The sequence below is a fragment of the Homo sapiens genome, chromosome 20 (assembly GCF_000001405.40).
Source record: "Homo sapiens chromosome 20, GRCh38.p14 Primary Assembly".
Classification (NCBI taxonomy): Eukaryota; Metazoa; Chordata; class Mammalia; order Primates; family Hominidae; genus Homo; species Homo sapiens.
Window position 1 is genome coordinate 19,888,788 of NC_000020.11, and position 22,093 is coordinate 19,910,880.

The 22,093-nt window shown below is 46.0% G+C and overlaps 1 protein-coding gene across 16 annotated transcripts in view; it reads left to right on the forward strand.

Annotated features, from left to right (window-relative positions):
• RIN2 (Ras and Rab interactor 2) overlaps nucleotides 1-22,093 on the forward strand; it is a 244,858-nt gene that overhangs the window by 131,189 nt on the left and 91,576 nt on the right. For 13 of the 16 annotated variants that reach the window (XM_047440212.1, XM_047440213.1, XM_017027888.2 and 10 more), the window contains one exon: nucleotides 779-871. In XM_047440212.1, the coding sequence (XP_047296168.1) occupies nucleotides 779-871 (93 nt within the window). Of the gene's footprint in view, nucleotides 1-399; nucleotides 510-778; nucleotides 872-22,093 lie in introns of those variants that run through there. The other 3 variants (XM_011529255.3, XM_017027893.2, XM_006723577.2) reach the window with 2 other exon arrangements.

Sequence of the window (22,093 nt, forward strand, 5' to 3'; positions counted from 1 at the left end):
GTGTGTATGTTTAACTTAGAACTGAATGTTGAAGGCTTTGTGACCCAAAGGGAAGAATTATTGGGATCTGATGCCCTAGCAGGGGAAATTCCAAGCCCAAAAAGCTACAGTTAGAATTCAGAACTGTGTTGTTACCCTGCCTCTGAGTTTTCCTCTACGTTCAGCTCCCCTTTTGTGGATGATCGTGAAGCTGTTTACATGTTGTCCTCTTCCGTGAACTGATCCCTGTAAACAGTGACAGGATTTTATCCAAATATTTCTGATTTCTAAGGGAAAAATAGAGCAATTTCTTCCCAGTGCCCTTCTGTTGACCTTGCCTGGGGGAGAGGCCAGCAGAGCTAAGGATGACCTCACCCCCTTCCAGCAGGATTTCCTGGGATGTACAGAACCTCCTTCTTCAGCTGTCCCTCTGTGATCAGCCACATTCAATCTATAAACTTCCAGTGCAGATGATGGGGACATCTAATATTGGGTCTGTTCACATTTCAGCAGGAGGTGAAACACACAAAGTAATCATTAGGCTTCCTGAAGTCCCAAGGACCTTCTACGTCAGTGGCAGAGGTGGGAGGTGGGCTGGCGAGGTGGGGCAGTCTAGGAACTGCGCTGGTGGGGACAGGAAATTGGGCTGAAGGGAGATGTAAGGCCTTGGTGGGAAATAAATGGCACTGTGTTGTTGACGGAAAAAGATCTTGGCAGGACTGTTGTTGTGAGTGTTCTGTGGCTTAGAAAGGAATTTCCTACAGGCTGGACTAACCATTAAAAATGTCTCTACCTTCAGGAGTCCCCGGCGTGCAGTGGAGCCTCGCTGGGGGAAATGACAGCTTGGACCATGGGCGCCCGCGGTCTGGACAAGCGAGGAAGTTTCTTTAAGGTAAAAGGAAGCCTTGATTGGGATCTCAACTCGTCGGCTTGCTGCCTGAGCCTGGGAGCTGCGGTGCTCCATGGAGCTGCTGAGGGAAGTCTGCTCTCTGAGCCAGCACCGGCTAAGGGAGCTTGCCCGAGCCCAGCTGCTGATTGTTACCAGGGCTTATAACAGGTTGCGGGGTCTGTGATTTAGTGCTTTCATACAGGCACAGGACTCGGGCACGGAGAGGGGCCGTGCTGTGCAAGACGGCTGAGGCTGTCTTTATTTGAGAGCTGCTCAGTTTGTCCTTTTTCAGCTGCAGGGTTTTATGGTGGAAGCTGTACTTTGCTTTCCAGTGAATCAATGCTGTCGTCCATGTGTTCTCTCCTTGGCTTGTTTGTATGAATCACTGAAGGGCTCCAAAACAAACAAACAAACAAACAAACAAACAAAAAACAGCTTCCTGGACCGCACCTTAGAATGATGAAATATTATTTTCTGGTATATTTTATCAAACATCCCCAAAGGCTTCTTATGATAATGAGGAAGCATGATTATAACTGTCTAACTCTTCTGTGTTCATATTGATGTTAATGGGACTAAATTACCTTGCTAGCTTAATGAGATAAGATTTTAAATGGGTGTTTTATGTACTCTGTGTGTGTGTATTTAATGAAGACTTGGTGGTCGCTTCTGATTTACACTTGGGAATCAATTCCCCTCTTGTGGCTTTTTGCTTTGTTTCCTTTCATTCACCCTCGAATTAAGGCATCCTCAGTATAGAAAATTTTGAAAATACAGAATTATGTTTAAAAAGGTAGAAAAATGGAGGTAAAATATGCACTTGAAATCTGTCATAGGCAGTGTTCCAACACCAGGTCTTGTCCTCAGAGGAGGAAGACGGAGGAGATTTTATTACCGAGGACAAGTGACTATGTTTAACAATTAACCAACCTTTATGGGTTGGAAGTATCTATTAACACTTATTTACATGTTTCCTGTTTCCAAGAGACCAAAACTGATATATTGTGTCAACTGTTGACTCTACAAAAAAAAAAAAAAAAAAAAAAAACCATCAGAAGAACCTGCTGATAAAGCAAAGTTCATGAGATTTACTGAAATAAGGAAGAACATCACCAGGACACAGTCTTATTCATGTCTAAGCCAGGGGAGATTAAGAGGCAGATTTATAGGATTCGGGGATCTAGGCCTAAGTCCTTCAAGCTGCATTTTTCAAGGTGGAGAACTAATTTGATTTCAGTGACGTCTATGCCACAATAGCTTGGGACTGGTGGATACAGCAAGACTAGTATATTGAAGTGGCTCTTGACAAGTAAACCCTTGTTTGATAAGTGAGCTGTTTTCCCAGGTGAGCAAATTGCTTGCCAGGACAAATTAGTGTGTAGACATTTCCTGCAACAAACAGTGAAGTTATTTATTGGTTTACAGTCTTAATTTTCTGGGCAAGAAGATCCTGGAAGAATGAGTTACGTTATGTTGACACAGATGGTCTCAATTATCAATCCTAATAGTTAAGCTTTGTGGACAAAGTAGTCTCAGTTCTCAAATGATTTACTCAGTTTTGATCAAACCTGTATAACCTCCACCCATTGGAGGCAAATGAGAGTAAGGAGCTCCTCAAGTCCTCTGTAGATCAAGAGCTAAGCCCACCAGGTTGCCCAATTGTCATCCTCCAGGTTCCTGAGTTGCATCTGATGCTGAGATATTTATTTCCCCCTGTTAAGAGGGATGATCCAAAACCTCTCCTTAACCCAAAGCACTGTCTAGATCAGCCTAAATATTGGCTAGTCCATAATTACCACCTTATGATGGTCAGGAAGCACAGTGGAGCCGTATCTTACATAGTAGTTAGATTTTAAAGTCAAGGCAAAAGAAGAAAATGGAGGCCAGCCATGGTGCTTCATGCCTGTAATTCCAGCACTTTGGGAGGCCTAGGTGGGCGGATCACTTGAGGTCAGGAGTTCGAGACGAGCCTGGCCAACATGGCGAAACCCCATCTCTACTAAAAATACAAAACTTAGCTGGGTGTGGTGGCCTGCACCTGTAATCCCAGCTACTTAGGAGGCTGAAGCAGGAGAATCGTTTGAACCTGGGAGGTGGAGGTTGCAGGAGGTTGCAGTGAGCCAACATCGCACCACTGCACTCCAGCCTGGGCAACAGAGCAAGACTCCATCTAAAAAAAGAAGAAGAAGAAGAAAATGGAGTATAAAGTTGCCTTTGAACATTTCTTAGGAAGGTGCCCTGAGGGGCCCAATGTACTACCTATCATCAAGTCCATTGTAGCCAGTTTTTCCTGCAGTTCTAAGAAAATCATATTTGTTTTTATTTGAGTTTTCAGTGGGACAGCAGTTAAGTCATTGACTTGTATTTCTGGGCTATGCTATAGGAAAGAACCAATCAGGTGAGAGGTGAGAGGTCTGCCTGACCCCGCCAAGGGTGAGATCTGCCATGTAACCTCTCCTGGGTCAAATACCCATGAAAATATTGGCAAAGGCACCTGCACTATTTAACTTGTCTGTAATTTTGTGTTTTTGGCAGAGTTTAAATTGTTTAATTCATTAATTAATTAATTAATTTATTTTGAGACGGAGCCTCATTCTTTCACCCAGGCTGGTGTGCAGTGGTGCGATCTCGGCTCACTGCAACCTCTGCCTCCCGGGTTCAAGCGATTCTCTGCCTCAGCCTCCCGAGCAGCTGGGATTACAGGTGCCTGCCACCACACCCAGCTAATTTTTGTATTTTTAGTAGAGACGGGGTTTCACCATCTTGGCCGTGCTGGTCTCGAACTCCTGACCTCGTGATCCACCCGCCTCAGCCCCCAAAATGCTGGGATTACAGGCATGAGCCACCACGCCCAGCCTTGTTTAATTTATTTAAGTCAGATGCTCCATGTAAATGATATAGTTACTTTATACTTCTTTCTTTCCTCTTTCTTTCTTTCTTGGAGCTCCCAGGCTCAAGCAATCCTCCCACCCTGGCCTCCCAAACTGCTGGGATTACAGGCGTGAGCCACCGCACCCAGCCTCCTTCCTCTTCCTTCTAGACATGGTTATTCTTTGCTGTAACAATTATTCCGTAATTAGTCACCAATATTCACATGTAGTTCTCTGTGAGGAGAAGTGAACTGCCCTTTGGACATTCAGTACTGATTCTTTGCAGGTTCATTTGTAACAAGCTGGAGGGGAGTTCGGTGCTGAGATGGATTGTCACCCAGTGGCCACCTTCTGGGACCCACTGGCCCTGCTCTGACTCACCATGCTTTATTTCAGTTCTCACCTATTAAGCGCCCATGAGCAGCCAAGCTCTGTACGTGGCCAGGGAGAGAAAAAGCAGAAGCCACCCCTAACCTCATGGAGCTTTCAGTCTGGTAGCAAATAAAGATATTAATCAAATAATCACAGCACCAGACACATAATTATAAATCATGTTTTAAAAATGCTTCATGGGAGATGTAAAAGGAGCCCTGAGAATATATAACCTAATCTGGGGTTCCAGAGAAATCTTTCCCAAGGAAGCGGACTTCGATTTGAGAGCTGAGGTCGACATTATACCATTTAGGAAGATGGTTGGAGCTAAGTTTTGGAGTGACTCTTGATGCTACCGCAACGCACTTCTCAGCAGATACCAGTGATGCCATACAATTGGAGAGGATGCTTTCATAAAGCGTGAGGTTTCCTGGTCACATTCTTGGCTCACAGCTGAATTCCACATGAGTATTATCCCTCTCTTGGCTATTAGTGCTCACGTGACTTTGTGTAAAGCACAGATAATTGGAAGGCAATCATTGGACCTCTTTTTCATCATTATCCTCCCCATCCAGTTTGTGTTTCTAAGCCAGAGTTGCTAACCACTAGTAGTTAGCACTACTAGTGATTTGTGGTTTCCCATCTGTCCTGGCTCATGGACATGACTCAGATAGGCTGGAGGACATGAGGTGCGTGGATAACACACAGATTATCTGAGCATTCTGGGATCACTGAGATGCCCTGTGGTTACTGTGGAATCGCATCCCAGAAGCTCCGACCACATCCATCCATGCAGATAAACCCATTTTCCAGGCACTCACAGCACCATTGTTAATTTTCCACAACCATCTGGGAAAAGTGGTATCTTCCTGCTCCACAAAACATATGGCAGAGCCGGGCGCCATGGCTCACACCTGTAAATTGTAGCATTTTGGGAGGGCAAGGTGGGCAGATCACTTGAGGTCAGGAGTTTGAAACCAGCCTGGCCAACATGGTGAAACCTGTCTCCACTGAAAATACAAAAATTAGCCAGGTGTGATGATGGGCGCCTGTATTCCCAGCTACTCAGGAGGCTGAGGCAGGAGAATGGCTTGAACCCAGGAGATGGAGGTTGCACTGAGCCAAGATGGTGCCACCACACTCCAGCCTGGGCAACAGAGCAAGACTGTGTCTCAAAAAACAACAAAAACAACAACAAAACACGTGGTGGGGAGAAGGGGTAACACCCTACACATGGTAGCCAAAGTTACCTGCTTTTAAGTAATAAATGTGAACACCTACTGCTATCACATTTCAAAGGTACATTGAACGAAAGAGTTTGTATAAGAAAGATGTCATCTAGGCTGGGAAAGCTATTGGTAGTCTTGAATTAGGGGCAGAGATGCTCAAAGTTATCTTTGATCCCCGCTTTCCCTGAATCCCATAGTTACCCCCAAGCCACCCCCACTCTCCCTACCATCCAGGCTCCCAATGCTGGCAAATCCTCCTCTTTAAAAAAATTTTTTTAAATTTTTAAATAACTTCTCTTTTTAAAAAAATAGAGATGGATTCTCTGTGTTGTCCAGGCTGGCCTCAAACTCCTAGCTTGAAGCAATCCTCCTGCTTTGGCTTCCCAAATCCCTGGGATTTCAGGCATGAGCCAGCACCCCTGGCCTAAATCCTCTTCATGTCTCCAAAGTCCTTGCCTTTCTTTCCTGTCCTATAACCACCTTTCCTGTCCTATATCCTGTCCTTGCCCTTCTTTCCTATCCTATATCCACTTGGCTATTAGTGCTCATGTGACTTTGTGTAAAGCAGAGATAATTGGAAGGCAATCATTGGACCTCTTTTTCGTCATTATCCTCCCCATCCAGTTTAGGTTCTCATTCTTTCATTTGGTTCTCCTTCTTCCATTGTGGGCATTATAAATGATGCCTATAATCCACCCACACCAACACTGTACATGTTTCTACTGATCCATGTCACCTGCTTGAAGACCCTGGCTCCTTGCTGGGCACAGGACCAAGTCTGTACCTTGACATTCAAAGATTTTCAGGCTGTGCTTCCACTTTCCCGGAACTCTTCCTCCACCGGTCCTGCCTCTGCAGCATCGTGAGTCTCTCCTGGGGTCCAAACCCACCAATCCCTGCCTCCAGCCTTGCCCACCACCCTATCCCTTACCCCTCCCCACCATCAGCCTCCCAACCACCCTTCCAGGCTTTAGACCCACTTCATCCACTGACAACAGAGCTCACATGGGCTGGGCTGGTATCTTCCTTTAGTTTTGTCTGAAGATCAAACTGTGGGAGAAATGTTATGTATGAAGGCCTAGCTGTAGTCTCAATGCAGTGCCAGGAAATAAACTTCAATTCATAACTCTGCCATAAGGGATTTGTTCTTTCCATTTGTCATCACGGCTATGATCCTGAGAGGGATCCTCTTATAGCAAAGAATGGTGCCAGAAGAGAACCAGGGTGAATTGTCCGGTCGACAGTTCTAATTTCTTACCGGCATACCTTTGGGCTTCCTGAGCAAGCCTGCCCTCCCCAGCCTCAAGTGTGTAGAGTACCCCCTTTCTAAGTGGCTGCCTTCTAACCTTCCTTGGCCTCTGGGACAGGGTGAGAGTTGAGAGTTGCTCTTACTAGACCAAGAAGAAAACATGTTTTAGCTTACAGGGATCCTACCCTCCCGGGCCTCAAAACCACTCATGCTGCAGAAGGATCCCTGAACCTAGGTTCACGAACCAACCGGGGTCATTCAAAGGCCCAGCCCAGCAGCAGAGGCCCAACTTGAGAGGCCCTCTTTGGTCATGTCTCACAGGTTGGATAAGAAGGTGCATCACGATTGTGTTTCAGAAACAGAAAACCTGTCATTATATTTCAGAGAATAACAGAAGAGCTCTCTGACACCACAAAGACTAGACCTGCGACTAGCTTTGAAGAAACTACATTGCTGAAATCTGGCTATACCGAATAGATGAACCAGTGGGTGATGATTCACTTGACCTCAGCTGAGTTCCCTCAACTATTGGTCTCTTCTTGGCATTTGAAAAAGTATTCAATTTTCAAAAATTCTGTCTGCCAAGCAAAATTTTTCAATCATTCAGAACTGGTCCAACTGCACATCTCAGGCCTCAGGGATTCCCAGTAATGGAGTTTTCAGATTTTTTTGTTTCCAGATAAGTGGAAATTCATTCATCTGCATGCACAGTAACAATGTACTGTGGACAGAGATTGCAGGGGCATGAAAAATAATGGATAGAATCAAAAACCACATTTTAGTCAGTAATTTCTTTTTTTATTTTTTTTATTTTTATTTTTATGTTTTTTTGAGACAAAGTCTTGCTCTGTTGCCTAGGCTGGAGTGCAGTGACATGATCTTGGCTCGCGGCAGCCTCCGGCTCCCAGGTTCAATCAATTTTCCTGCCTCAGCCTCCCAAGTAGCTGGGATTACAGGCATGCGCCACCACACCCAGCTAATTTTTTGTATTTTTAGTAGAGGCGGGGTTTCTCCACGTTGGCCAGGCTGGCCTCCAACTCCTGCTAGTCAGTAATTTCATTGAGCAAATCCTTACATGGTTCTCTGGATGCTCAAAAGCCATAGAGATGAATGTTGCCCCCTTGGCCTCCCAGCAGATCCCCTGGACTGTGAGTAGACGGAACATCACCTGCCCACTGTCCAGTGAGTCCACATCCCCACAATGTATCAGCCCACAGGCCTCTCAGCACCTTGCAGTGGAAACAGCAGAGCAAGTAGAGATTTAGTCACAGTGACAATTTACTCATAATAGTATTGCAAAGCATGCCTCACACCTGTATCTGGATGTGTCTTTTGTTTTCCATAAATAAATTCTTCATAGACACTGACACCTGGAGAGGCCTCAGAGCATAGAAACAATAGCACCATAGAAAACAATGTAAGCCACAGATGTAATTTTAAGCATTCTAGTAGCCACATTTAAAACTTTAAAAGGAAAACAAGTGGAATTAATGTTAATAATATATTGTATTTGGCCTAATATATCAAAATATCATCATGTCAACACATGATAGATATAAAAAAGTATTAATCAGATATTTTACATTCTTTTTTGTACCACTTTTTTTATTGACAAAAATGGTATATATTTATTGTGTACATGTTATTTGAAAACATGTATTATTCCATGTCTTTGAAACCCTGTGTGTATTTTACACTCAGCATGTCTCAATTCAGACCAGCTACATTTTGTTGTTGTTGTTGTTTTTGAGACAGAGTCTCTCTCTGTCGCCCAGACTGGAGTGTAGTGGAACAATCTCTGCTCACTGCAACCTCCGCCTTCTGAGTTCAAGTGATTCTCCTGCCTCAGCCTCCTGAGTAGCTGGGATTACAGATGAACCGCCACCATGCCCAGCTAACTTTTTTGGATTTTTAGTAGAGACAGAGTTTCACCATGTTGGCCAGGCTGCTCTTTAATTCCTGACCTCAAGTGATCTTCCTGCCTCAGCCTCCTAAAGTTCTGGGATTACAGGTGAGTGTCACCGCACCCAGCCAGACCAGCTACATTTTTAAGTGCTCAGTATCCACACGTGGCTGGCAGCTGCCAGACTGGACAGCAAAGGTTTAGCTGGTCTAAATCCCTTCCTTCTACAGATGGGGAAACTGAGGCCCAGTTTAGGCTACAGCAGGGATGGGAGTCAGACCTGATCTGACATTGCTCTGTGGCTTCCTGACCCCACGTAACCTCCTGCTCTGGTTCTTCTGTGACTGTCTTCCCCCTTTTCCAGCTCCCTCTCCCAGAAAACTCCATCTGAAGAGGTCATAAGAATGGTGGTCTCTCTCTGCAGGAACTGTTGGCTTCTTTTTTTTTTTTTGAGTTGGAATCTGACTCTGTTGCCCAGGCTGGAGGGCTGTGGTGTGAACATAGCTTACTGCAGCCTGGAACTCCTGGGCTCAAGCTATCTTCCCCCATCAGCCTCCCAAGTAGCTAGGACTACAGATGCATGCCACCATGCCTGGCAACTTTTATTTTAGTTTTTGTAGAGACAGGGTCTCACTTCGTTGCCCCGTCTGGTCTTGAACTCTTGGGCTCAAGTGACCCTCCTGCTTCAGCCTCCCAAAGTGCTGGGATTATTGGCATGAGCTTTGGTGCCCAGCCTGTTGGCTATTTTTGGATGCACACACATGCCTCTCACCATTTGTTCCAAACATTTCCAGGACTCAAGTCAGCGCCCCCAAGGCATGACTTTCTAGGAATGCTATGAGCCTATCGAACAGAAATTCCTTTTCATATTTTCAAAAAGCAATGGATCTCATGGTTTTATAAATGGTTTTTCCAGTACATTGTGGCCATTCATTTCTGATGCTAACAGCATGTGTCGTTCCAACACATGCTCATCTTCGCCAGGGGACTTCTTTGTTTAAAAATCAGGAGTGAAGCAGATTGCCCAGGTTCCCCTCAATGATGTATTTCTCCAGGCTTCCTTGTAGCTCTAAGTTTCATATTAGAAGGATACCAAGAAGGAAGATGTAGTTTTGAAGGACTATTGTGTCAATGTAAAATTTTCAAAAAGTTAAAATATGACTCTTGTACAATATAGAATGAACACCTGCCAAAGCTTTATCTCACCCATTTATGAGGAAACCAGTAAATAGTAAAACTGGTTCAAAAAATGCTTTGACAAATGATGTATTTGTAGTCAACTTAGAAAGGCAGTCTGTGATAAGTTTGCTGAGTTAAAATCCAAACTGGTAACATCCTACAAGGCAATAAAACTGTAACCTTTGGTGTTCTCCCTTTTTACAGAACAGAAATCTGCAGGCTGGTATATAACCTCACTGTGTCTGATCTCTTCATTAATACCACATAAGTCAAACACAGATACATTCCTCTAGACAATTAACTAATCCATAGATAAACTTGTTAAATCACGTGCCAGCATGGCAATGAAAGGACAAACTCAAATAAACAAAAAGGCCCTTTCATCTAGAAGTTTTAAAACCCTCTAATAAACAACTCTGGGGTGAAAGCAGAAATACAAACTGGAATTACAGAAAAAAATGATACAAAATGATAATCAAAACACTACCTATCAGAATCAATGTTATACATTTAAAGCAGCAATCAGAGGAAAATTCATAGCACTAAACACTTTTTATCAGAAAAAACACGCCCCACCTTTTTAATCTATTTCCAAGTCTGAGTGTTTCTTAATAATTACTGCTGAAATGGCTTATTCCCAGCCACTTCTATTATGCCTCTCCTTTCCTTGTTCCCAAATATCCCCAACCAAGGATTTTTGCCTTAAAAAATCAAATGTCTTCAATGAGGTTGAAGAACTATGTGACAGCTAGCTCTATGTTTATTGACTTAAATACTGGTAGAGGATTCCTGGGCTCTTTTTCATGGTGTAAAATCCTCACAGTGACGCTCTTGGTGTTGCTCTAATCCCTAAACTCAGATATGTACATATATATGTCCAGTGGTCCGAGGTGAATTGGATGGAGAATAATTTCCCAGCATAAAATCTTTCAAATGTCTTTATGGTGGCATGTAGAAAACCATTTCCACAACATAATCTGAAGCTGTACTATCTATTGCTGTGTAACTAATTACCCAAAATCTTAGTGACTTCAAACCGCAAACATTCATACCTCACATTTTCTGTGGGTCAGAGATCTAAACGCAGTTTAGCTGAGAGCCTCAAGCTCAAGGTCACTATGAGATTTGGGAGGAGTTGGTGGCCAGGGTCATAGTCTCATCTGAAGGCTTGACTGGTGAGGAATCCACTTACAAACTAACTTGGCAGGTCTCGGTCCATTGTCAAATGGTTCTCTTCACAGGGGTGGCCTTAGGACATGGCAGATGGCTTCCTCACATGGCAAATTAAACAGGAGAGAGCAAGAGAGATGGAAGTCACAGTCTTTTTATAACCTACTCTTGAATGGTACCCCATCACTTCTGCTATATTCTATTCGTTAGAAGCCAGTCAATAAGTCTAGCCTCAGGAGCAATTACTCAAAGGTGTGAATATCAGGCTGTGGCTTACACTGGGAACATCTTAGGGAGCGCAACATAGAAAAACAGCTCAGTCACAAACTCAACAACCTGCAGGGCCAAACAGAAATAAAATGAGTGAGTGGGCCTGGCATCAGACAGGTGGGATTGGTGGAGACTGTAACAAAACTGGAGCATACAAGTCCCTTCTAGAAGGAGAAACTGCTCTCTCAGTTCCAACCAATTCTTGTCATGCAAGAATGAATGTGGGTTTTTTGGTTTTTTCCAAGTGAGGGAGGCCAGAAATCTAGATTTTCATGTAAAATAATCCCAATTTAAAAACTATTCTGGCTGGGCATCATGGCTCATGCCTGTAATCCCAGCACTTTGGGAGGCTGAGGCTGGCAGATCACTTGAGGTCAGGAGTTCAAGACCAGCCTGGCCAACATGGTGAAACCCTGACTCTACAAAAAATACAAAAATTAGTCAGGCGTGGTGGTGCATGCCTATAGTCCCAGTTACTCAGGAGGCGAGGCAGGAGAATTGCTTGAACCCAGGAGGCAGAGGTTGCAGTGAGCTGAGATTGTGCCACTGCACTCCAGCCTGGGCAACAGAGTCTCAAAATAAAAAATAAAAAAATAAAAACCGTCCTAAAGTCAGGTACAGTGGCCCATACCTGTAATCCCAGCACTTTGGGAGGTCGAGGTGGGAGGATCACTTGAGCCCAGGAATTAGAGACCACCCTGGGCAACACAGGGAGACCCTGTCTCTACTACATTAAAAAAAAAGAAAAAACAAAAACAACAACAAAAATTAGGCTGGGTGTGGTGGCTCACGCCTGTAATCCCAGCACTTTGGGAGTCCAAGGTGGGCAGATGTCCTGAGGTCGGGAGTCCCAGACCAGCCTGATCAACATGGATAAACCTCGTCTCTACTAAAAATGCAAAATGAGCCAGGCGTGGTGGCGCATGCCTGTAATCCCAGCTACTTGGGAGGCTGAGGCAGGAGAATCGCTTGAACCCGGGAGGCGGAGGTTGCAGTGAGCCGAGATCACACCATTGCACTCTGGCCTGGGCAACAAGAGCTCTGTCTCAAAAAAAAAAAAAAAAAAAAAAAAAAAAGAAATGTACTTCTTGGATTCCACTCCAGACCCAGAGAATCAGAAACTGCAGGATAAGGCCCAGCTCTCTCCTGGTGATTCTGATGTTCACCCAGGTGGGAGAACCACTGCTCCAGACCCTGTATTTCAATGAGTGAACGGCACTATACAAAAAGCATAGAAACGTCTTCATTCTCAACCTAGCTTCATGTCCTTCTCTGGAAAATGGAATGATACCACCTTACCAGCTGGATTGTAACTGTCTGTTGGTCAGATACAGTATTTTGATGATTTCAGTCAATAACTCTGCAAGCCTTGGTGTTACTACTGGTGTCTTTTTCTGTCTGCTTTCCCCCACCCCCGTCCCCACATTTTATTTGCTTTCTCAAAAGCATCTGCACACAGATACATGGGTGGACATCCTCAGAGGCAGGGTGACTCAGCCGAACAGAACCCTGCAACATGCACTGGCAAAAGTGCCCCACCCAGCGTCGAACACCCGACCTTGTCATTTACCCACGGGTGCTAGCACAATCAGTGTGCTACGATTGAGGGGCGGCTCTTCCCCCTGCCAACTAAACCCTGGGGAAAATGAACACTCAAACTCCGTTGTTGGTATACACTGCCATTAGCCAAAGGAACAAATGATCAAATGGAAAAAACAGACATTTTGTTGTTTGACATTTAGGTAAAATCAACTATTTTGGTGCCACTCCCTAGGCACAGCCCAGCCTTCTTCCTTATTCAATTACTTTGTAATATTTATGTTTAATCTAATAAACAGGTCGAGTGCGGTGGCCCACACCTGTAATCCCAGCTCTTTGGGAGGCCAAGGCCAGCAGATCACTTGAGGTTAGGTGTTTGAGACCAGCCTGGCCAACATGGTGAAACCCCGTCTCTACTACAGACACAAAAATTAGCCGGGTGTGGTGCAGGCGCCTGTAATCTCAGCTACTCAGGAAGCTGAGGCAGGAGAATCACTCGAACCCGGGAGGCGGAGGTTGTGATGAGCCAAGATGGCACCACTGCACTTCAGCCTGGGCGACAGAACGAGACTCTGTCTCAAAAAAAAAAAAAAAAAAAAAAAAAAATTGAGCAAACACACTGTTCCAGGCATTGTTCTAAGCACTTTAAAACCATTAACTTATTTAATCCTCACAATATTATTATCCCCCTTTTGCAGTTAAGAAAACTGAGGCATGAAGAACTTGCCACACAGTTTGTGAAGTATGTGGTGGCTCCGTGGACACTGTATATAAACTTGGGAGGAATTTCATAGAGACAGGACCCAGCACTCATTGGACTCCTCCGACTCTCCTTGAGTCCTTGAGATGCTGACTCTGTGCCTCAGCCAGCTCAGAAATGAGACTCAGGCAGTCTCTCCTCCCACCACCTTCCATGGAGTGCTCCCTGGGCTGGATGCTAGTGAGCTGAGCCTCTCTGAACTTTCCCACTGCACCTGTCCCTCACCGCTGTCCTTTGCTGGCCACCCACCACTACCTCTTTCCGATGGCCATCTCTGAGTTTCCTATAGCAAAAGGTGGGGATGATTCTTCTCAAAGGCCACCAGGAGGACATCCTTCCTCAAAGTTAGGTTTATGAGCTTGTGCAGACAGAGAGAATGCCCACTGACAGAGGCATAGGAGGTTCTCAGTCCGAGGGAGCTGGGGGAGCTCATTACAGGGTTTCTGCTTGCGCTGGGTAATTCTAAGGAAGGTGGGGTTGCAGATCTAGCAAATAAAATATACAGGACACCAGTGAAACTTGAATTCCAGATATGGCATAAGTATATCCTATGCAATATTTAGCACATACTTATACTAAAAAACATTATTCATTATTTATCAAAAATTTAAATTTGGCCGGGCACGGTGGCTCACGCCTGTAATCCCAGCACTTTGGGAGGCCTAGGTGGGTGGATCACAATGTCAGGAGATTGAGACCATCCTGGCTAACGCGGTGAAACCCCGTCTCTACTAACAACACAACAAATTAGCCGGGCATGGTGGCGGGCCCCTGTAGTCCCAGCTACTCGGGAGGCTGAGGCAGGAGAATGGCATGAACTCAGGAGGCGGAGCGTGCCGTGAGCCGAGATTGTGCCACTGTACTCCAGCCTGGGCAACAGAGCGAGACTCTGTCTCAAAAAAATAAAATAAATAAAAATAAAATAAAATTTAAATTTAACTTAGCATCCTGTATTTTCTTGAGTAACTCTACAGGAGGGCTAAGATGTTGTCAGGAAGTGAGGGTAATTTGTTGCTAGGGGTAGCTTGATGGTCTTTATCTGGAAGGGGAGGAAATAAAGGGAGCTTGAGGGATCATCGGTGGAGGAGCAGCCAGCGCTCGTGTGTGTCGAAAGAGGGGGCCATTTCGTCGTTTTTGTGGTTTCAGCATCCTGGTTTCTGTTCTGTCATTTCAGACCTGTTCCCTAGTGGCCTTGAATAGTTGGTGTTTACATTGTGTCTGTGTTGTTTATGTTCTGTTGGGAGCGTGCCAGGGGTGTTTCTTCCTTTCTCATTCTACTTCCAGATTCTAGGCTTGTTTCAGGGTCTCAAAGACACAGGTCACTTGGGGTTCTGTTCCGGGACAGCTGGTTCCACCTTGACCACTGGTTCTCTGGAAATATTTTTGGTTGCCACCACTGGGATGGGGATGCTACTGGTCTCTAGTAGGCAGACGCCAGAGATGCTGCCAAACTTCCTCCAATGACCAGGACAGCCCCCACGACAAAGAATTATCTAGCCCCAAATTCTAACAATGCTGATGTTGAGAAATCCTGGTCTGCACTGTAAATTAGGAAATAAAATTTGTGTTTCTTGAGGTTTCTCCAACTATCTCTGAATCAGGCTTTCCAGAAGTAAAGGAAATGAAAGCAAGAAGACTGTGATCATGTATTTAGCACCCAGTGTCCTGCATGCTCCTTGAGGACAGAGAGAGTGTCTTACTGAATTTGTATTACCTGGGCTGAGCTCAGTACCTGGCCGGTAATTGCAGGTGTTCAATAAATATGCTGGATGGGCCGGGCGCCATGGCTCATGCCTGTAATCCCAGCACTTTGGGAGGCCGAGGCGGGTAGATCACTTGAGGTCAGGAGTTCAAGACCAGCCTGGTCTCTACTAAAAACACAAAAATTAGCCAGGTGTGGTGGCGCACGTCTGTAATCCCAGCCACTCGGGAGGCTGAGGCAGGAGAATTGCTTGAACCCAGCAGGTAGAGGTTGCAGTGAGCTGAGATCATGCCATTGCACTCCAGCCTGGGTGACAGAATGAGACTTCGTCTCAAAAAAAAAATATATATATATATATATATAAAATATATATATATATTTGCTGGATGAATAAAAAAATGTGTAGCACACATCTGTATGCGCTGCCTATATATGGTTCATTTATTCAGCCAGTATTGATTCCACACCTACAATGGTGAGGCCAGCCCTGGGCACCGGGTATGCGGTGCTGGGGGAAGCAAATCAGAATTGGAGAAACTTGAACTTGAAGGATGGGGATGAGGGGCAGGGCTACTCACATTGGGGTAGGGAAAGTCTTCCTGAAAAGGTGACTTTAAGCTGAACTGTGCAGGAGAGAAAGAGACGAAAGGAAGAGCATTCCCGGATAAGGAAGCCACATGTTTAAAGGCCTGGAGTGACATCTGAGGCTCTGAGGGAGAAAAAGGGTGGCAAGTATAATGAATGGCAGGCCGGAAGGGCAGGAGGGGCAGGATGCCAGTCATGCCAGCCAGGTGAACACTGGGATTCCATTCTTAGTGCTATCGGAAGCGGTGATGGGTATGAGGAGGGGAGTGCCACCTATGTGCCACCCTCATAAAGCTCACCCGGCATTAGCACTGTGTCTCCATCCATCAACCAAGAAAACCAAAGTGCAATTAAAATCTTCCCTGGAGTCACTCAAAGGAGGCCAGAGCCAGCCTCCCCATCAGCACAACTTGAAATCTTGACATTGAGTTGCTGTTCTTTCTCTACACTTGCTTCTTCAGGTGCCAAGCAGCTCTCTCAAATTGAGGTAGCCCTGCCCTTCCTCCCCATCCTTCAAGTTCAAGCTTCTCCAGTTCTGATTTGCTTCCTCTATCTCTCCCAAGCTCTTCCAGCCTGGTGGTCCTCTCTGGTTTACTCTGTCCCGTTCCCACTTTCTGGTCTTTATTGTACAGGTCCCCTTGACCTGGCTGGGGTCTTTAGTATCATGGTTTTCTTCTCTGCCCCGATTCAGAATCTGCTCAGCAAAAGCTGAGCCAGAACAGACTCAAAACTCACACCTTCCCCACTTGGAAGGTAAGACAGGGAGGAGGATTGCAGACTCCTGTCATGTGCATTTTTCAGGATTGTCTCATACTCTTTGAAATAACTCGTCTACCTGACATATGTGGAGTGGACAAGAGAGGGGCAGGAGAGGGAGTGAGAGAACCTCTGAGGACAAAGCAAACGATGACACTCAGGCCACATCCAGCTGGCATCTGTGCTTGAAAGTCAAGTTCTGGCTGGGCGAAGTGGCTCATACCTGTAATCCTAACTCTGTGGGAGGCTGAGATGGGAGGATGGCTTGAGGCCAGGAGTTCGAGACCAGCCTGGTCAACACAGTGAGACCCCATCTCTATTTATAAAGATAAATAAACTAAGAAAGTCAAGTTCTATTGGAGCTGGGCATGGTAGCGTGTGCCTGTAGTCCCAGGTGCTCCTGGAGGCTGAGGCAAGAGGATCACTTGAGCCCAGGAGTTCAAGGCTGCAGCCACTGCACTCCAGCCTGGACAACAGAGCAAAACTCCATCTCTAACAAAAAACAAATAAACAAACAACAAGTTCTATTGGAACCCAGCCATTCACTCACGTATTGTCTGTAACTGCTTCTGTACCATTAACTGCAGAGTTTGGTTGCTACAGGGACTGTATTGCCCCTATATAATAATTCCTAAAATATTCATTCTCTGGCCCTCTGTAGAGAAAGTTTGCTGACCACTGACTTAGGAACTAACTGCATCCTGTCACTGAATTCTCAAAGGTAGTCTTGAGTGTAGGTAGCAGTATCTCTATTTCACAAACAAACAAACAAACACATGCCAGGGCCATGAATCTATATAAACACCCCCAGAGAGTAAGTGGCAGAGCCAAGATTCACAGCCTGATCTCCCAGGGCAGGTTCCATTCTCTATCCTGAACTGCACTACTTGCCTCATACATACAGGTTGTCAGAAACAGCTGGAATAGTGGCTAGGCATGGTGAATTACACTTGTAATCCCAGCACTTTGGGAGGCTGAAGTGGGAGGATTGCACGAGTTTGGGAGTTTGAGACCAGCCTGGGCAATACAGCAAGACCTTGTCTATACTAAAAATAAAAAATTAGCCAGGCATGGTGGCATGCACCTGTAGCCCTAGCTACCCCGGAGGCTGAGATGGGAGGATTGCTTGAGCCCAGGAGGTTGAGGCTGTAGTGAGCTATAATCATGCCACTGCACTCCAGAGCCTGGGTGACAGAGTGAGACTCTGTCTCAAAAAGAAAAAAATAGCAGGAATGAATTCATCAGAGGTGTTAACCTTGGATGCTTACAGGGGCCAGGAAGATAATGTAGGCGAGTGAAGCCAACCCAGGCCAAAGTTGATAAATGGCAACTGACATTTGGCCTCAGTATTAGAGAACAAGAACCATAGGGAGTGGTGGGGTCTGCGGCCATCTGGAGAATAGATATCCCATCTAACAAGGCAGCATCACCATCGTGGTCCAGGGTTTCTAATTTTCAAGAAGCTGGAAACCTGAATTTTTTTGTTTAAGTCTCCTGACTTTTGCATGAAATATTATTATATTTAAATGTTGAAACTAGTTTAACTCTAAAAGACAAGACAAGCCCATGTGAAGCAAACTGGGCAGAGCATGGATGAGTGTCCTATAGGCCACTGGAGTATGACCTCTGATATGTGACATACACATTGGAGTGACTGCCACAGCCTTCCTCAATGTCTTAGACTGTTTTCTGCCGCTAAAACAGAATACCTGAGCCTGGCTAATTTATAAAGAACAGAGATTTATATGCTACAACTCTGGAGGCTGGGAAGTCCCAAGGTTGAGGGGACTGCATTTTGCGGGGGCCTTCTTGCTGCGTCATTCCATGGTGGAAGGTGGAAGGGCAGCAGAGAGTACATGTGCATGCAAGGGTAGGAGGGAGAGAGAGAGGAAGGGCAGGAGAGAGAAGGAAAAGGGGCTGAACTCATCCTTTTATCAGGAACCCACTCCTGTGATAACCAGCCCACTCCCAAAATAATGGCGTTAATCCATTCAAGATGGCAGACCCCTTTGACCTATTTACCTCCTAAAAGCCCCACCTCTCAACACTGTTGCATTGAAGATTAAGTTTCCAACATATGAACTTTGAGGACACAGCCCAATCATAGCCCTGGAGAGGGTTGGGTCTTGTGGAGGGGAGAGGCAGCTCTAGGGGAGGCAGCTGGGGGTTGCCCTGGCCTGTGTACCAGACAGAGCCCTGGCTCCCAGCCAAACCCTCAGCTGGACACTGGGTGCATTCTCATCCTTCACTTATCACCAGAGCGAGGAAGGAAGGAAGTTCCACCCATCACCAGAAGCTCTCCACTTATTACTTCAAGGAAGGAAATTCCAAGGAACCAAAGAAGATACAGAGATGCAGGAACACTGAGCTCAGGAAGGAAGAGGGTGGAGGTGGGTCTGGGAAAGCCCCAGGGTCTGAGATAAAGCTGGTGAGTTTGTCCTGGGTATAGCCACAGGGCCTTGCCCAGAGTCCACACACTCACCTTTTCAAACGTAGTAAAAGCCAATATTCCCTTTAATGCATCAAAGATATGTGTACCTCACCTGGGTAAATACTGGTGGAAAGGCCATGGGTTTGTAAGGGCTGCCAATCCCTGTTGCACCATTACCAGCTGCATGACATTAAGCAAACTCTCAGAGCCTCAGTTTCCTCATCTGTAAGGTGGGATTAATAAATCCCTGTCCTATGGTGCTAAGACGATGGAGGATTAAGTGAGACAATGGACAATGCCAGCCATCAAGAAGGCCCCTCCTTAAGGGGCAGCTGCTGTTGGCTGAAGCTGGTTAATGAAGTGTTATTTCTTCACCTTCCTCATGCCTGTAACATTGACCTCTGAGCCTTCACCACAGTCGGGAGAGCTTAGGTCCATGCTCCATCTGTCTGCAGGGCGATCACTTCCAAACCAAAAAAGACTCATCCAAGAGGCATTATGTTGTGTTATGGACATAGGAACTTCAGAGTTTGGACATCGGCCAGGCGCGGTGGCTCACACCTACAATCCCAGCACTTTGGGAGGCCGAGGTGGGCAGATCATGAGGTCAGGAGATCGAGACCATCCTGGCTAACATGGTGAAACCCCGTCTCTACTAAAAATACAAAAAATTAGCCGGACGTGGTGGCGGGCGCCTGCAGTCCCAGCTACTCGGGAGGCTGAGGCAGGAGAATGGCGTGAACCCGGGAGGCGGAGCGTGCATTGAGCTGAGATCGCACCACTGCACTCCGGCCTGGGCCACAGAGCGAGACTCCGTCTCAAAAAAAAAAAAAAAGAAAGAAAGAAAGAGTTTGGACATCAAGGGGGTGGGGAGATAATCCTCTGGTAAGTAAAATAATTCTGTGGAAACAATCTCTCATTCCCAGCATGCAGGTTAATGAAGATTGAGAAAAATTCAAGTAACCCCAAAACATCATCATTTATTTACTAAGACTTCGAGTTTCAAAGTTCAAAGCTTTTCAGAATCAAATTGAAGAGTCAGAAATTACTCACAGGCAGCAGAAGTTGGCGGCCCTCCTTCCATTCTGTTCAGAGATTTGTGGTCACTTGTGGAATATCCACTATTTGGAAAGAGCTGGGCTTAGGGGTGGGCAATGGAAAAAATACACGTGGAACACCACGCCTGTTGTTCAGTTTGTTTGTTTATCTTTGAGATGGAGTTTTGCTCCTGTTGCCCAGGCTGGAGTGCAATGGCCTGATCTCAGCTCACTGCAACCTCTGCCTCCCAGGTTCAAGTGATTCTCCTGCCTCAGCCTCCCAAGTAGCTGAGATTACAGACGCCCACCGCCACTCCCAGCTAACTTTGTATTTTTAGTAGAGACTGGGTTTTGCCATGTTGGCCAGGCTGGTCTCAAACTCCTGACGTCAGGTGATCCACCCACCTGGGCCTCCCAAAGTGCTGTGATTACAGGTGTGAGCCACCGCGCCCAGTCTGCTCTTCAGTTTTTGTTAGTAACCCACTGAGGCCCATAAAACAAACACACCTGTCATCAGAGCAGCCAGCTTTATAATCTCCTCCTCCAATCCCCCTCGTTGTCTCCTCCGTCCCATCATTCACCCCACACATCCTTCCCTGCCCTACCCCCAAGGCAAGATTAAATGCCTTCAGAGGTTCCCAAATACTGAGGAGTTTTGATCCGCCACCACTTATACATAACTAAAAATAATTTCAATTTTTCCCAAGTGACACAGAAGTTACCTATATACTGAAATTGAAATCATTCCTTTCTGGAACTTTCAACAGCCAAGTGCTGGGCAAGTTCATCCGAGATGAGCATTTGTGTGCTTGTGTGCACGTCTCTGTGTTGAGCCCCGGCACACACTCTGCACCCTACTCCCCGCTGGCATGGGATGATTTGGGTTGGAGCAGTTGTGCCCACTATTGTGGGCATCATCATGCTGGTCCCCTTTCACCATCCCACCAAGTTATCTCATCTTTTACAGATGAGGAAACTGAGATCCTGGTAGGTTACAGTCTCGCCGCACAGGTCCCATAGGTAGTAGGAGCCAGCAGAGCTAGTTTCAGGCCAGGTCTGTGTGGTTTCCAGGGCTCATCAGTAAGCTAAACTGGTCTCCTTGGTGGCCACAAGACATTGGCTTCCCCAGAGGCACTCAGCAGGCAGCCTGGGTGTGGTGCGGCTACTAGTAAATGGGGACCATGATGCGGCCATGCCTGGGAGCCCAGCCAGTCTTGAGCAGGAAAAGGTGGGGCCCCTGTGGTAGCTGCACACGCTTCCTCCAGCTTGCATCCCAAGTGTCCATCAACGCAGATTTTGAGGACAAGGCACAGAGCTGGCTGAACTTTTCAAAGAAGAGATTTCCCAACAGGAAGAATGTGCAAAGTGAGCTCTGAAGATGTGCTAGGAGAAATTAAGGAAGTGTTTCCTTGCAACCTGGTTTTTAATCTTGTGTACATTAATTTTTTATTTATTTTAATTTTTTTCATACTTTCTCTCTTTTTTTTGAGACAAGGTCTCACTCTGTCACCCAGACTGGAGTGCAGAGGCACGATCTTGGCTCACTGCAACCTCTGCCTCCCGGGTTCAAGTGATTTCCCCTTGAATCCTGAGTAGCTGGGACTACAGGCATGCGCCACCATGCCCAGCTAATTTTTGTATTTTTAGTGGAGTCAGGGTTTCACCATGTTGGCCAGGCTGGTCTCGAACTCCTCACCTCAAGTCGTCTGTTCACCTTGGCCTCCCAAAGTGCTGGGATTACAGGCATAAGCCACCATGCTTGGCCTTCATACTCTCTTTTTTCTTTTTCTTTTCTTCTTCTTTTTTTTAATCATTCTTGTGTATATTGTTTGAATTTTTTTTTCTCTGTGAGAGGAAGTGAACTTTTTTTTTTTTTTTTGAGATGGAGTCTCACTCTGTCACCCAGAATGGAGTGCAGTGGCGCAGTCTCGGCTCACTGCAGCCTCTGTCTCCTGGGTTCAAGTAATTCTCCTGCCATAGCCTCCCACAGAGCTGGGATTACAGGCGCCCACTACCACGCCCGGCTAATTTTGTATTTTTAATAGAGACAGAGTTTCTCCATGTTGGCCAGGCTGGTCACAAACTCTTGACCTCAAGTGATCCGCCTGCCTCGGCCTCCCAAAGTGCTGGGATTACAGGCGTGAGCCACACCGCACCCAGCCAGGAAGTGAGT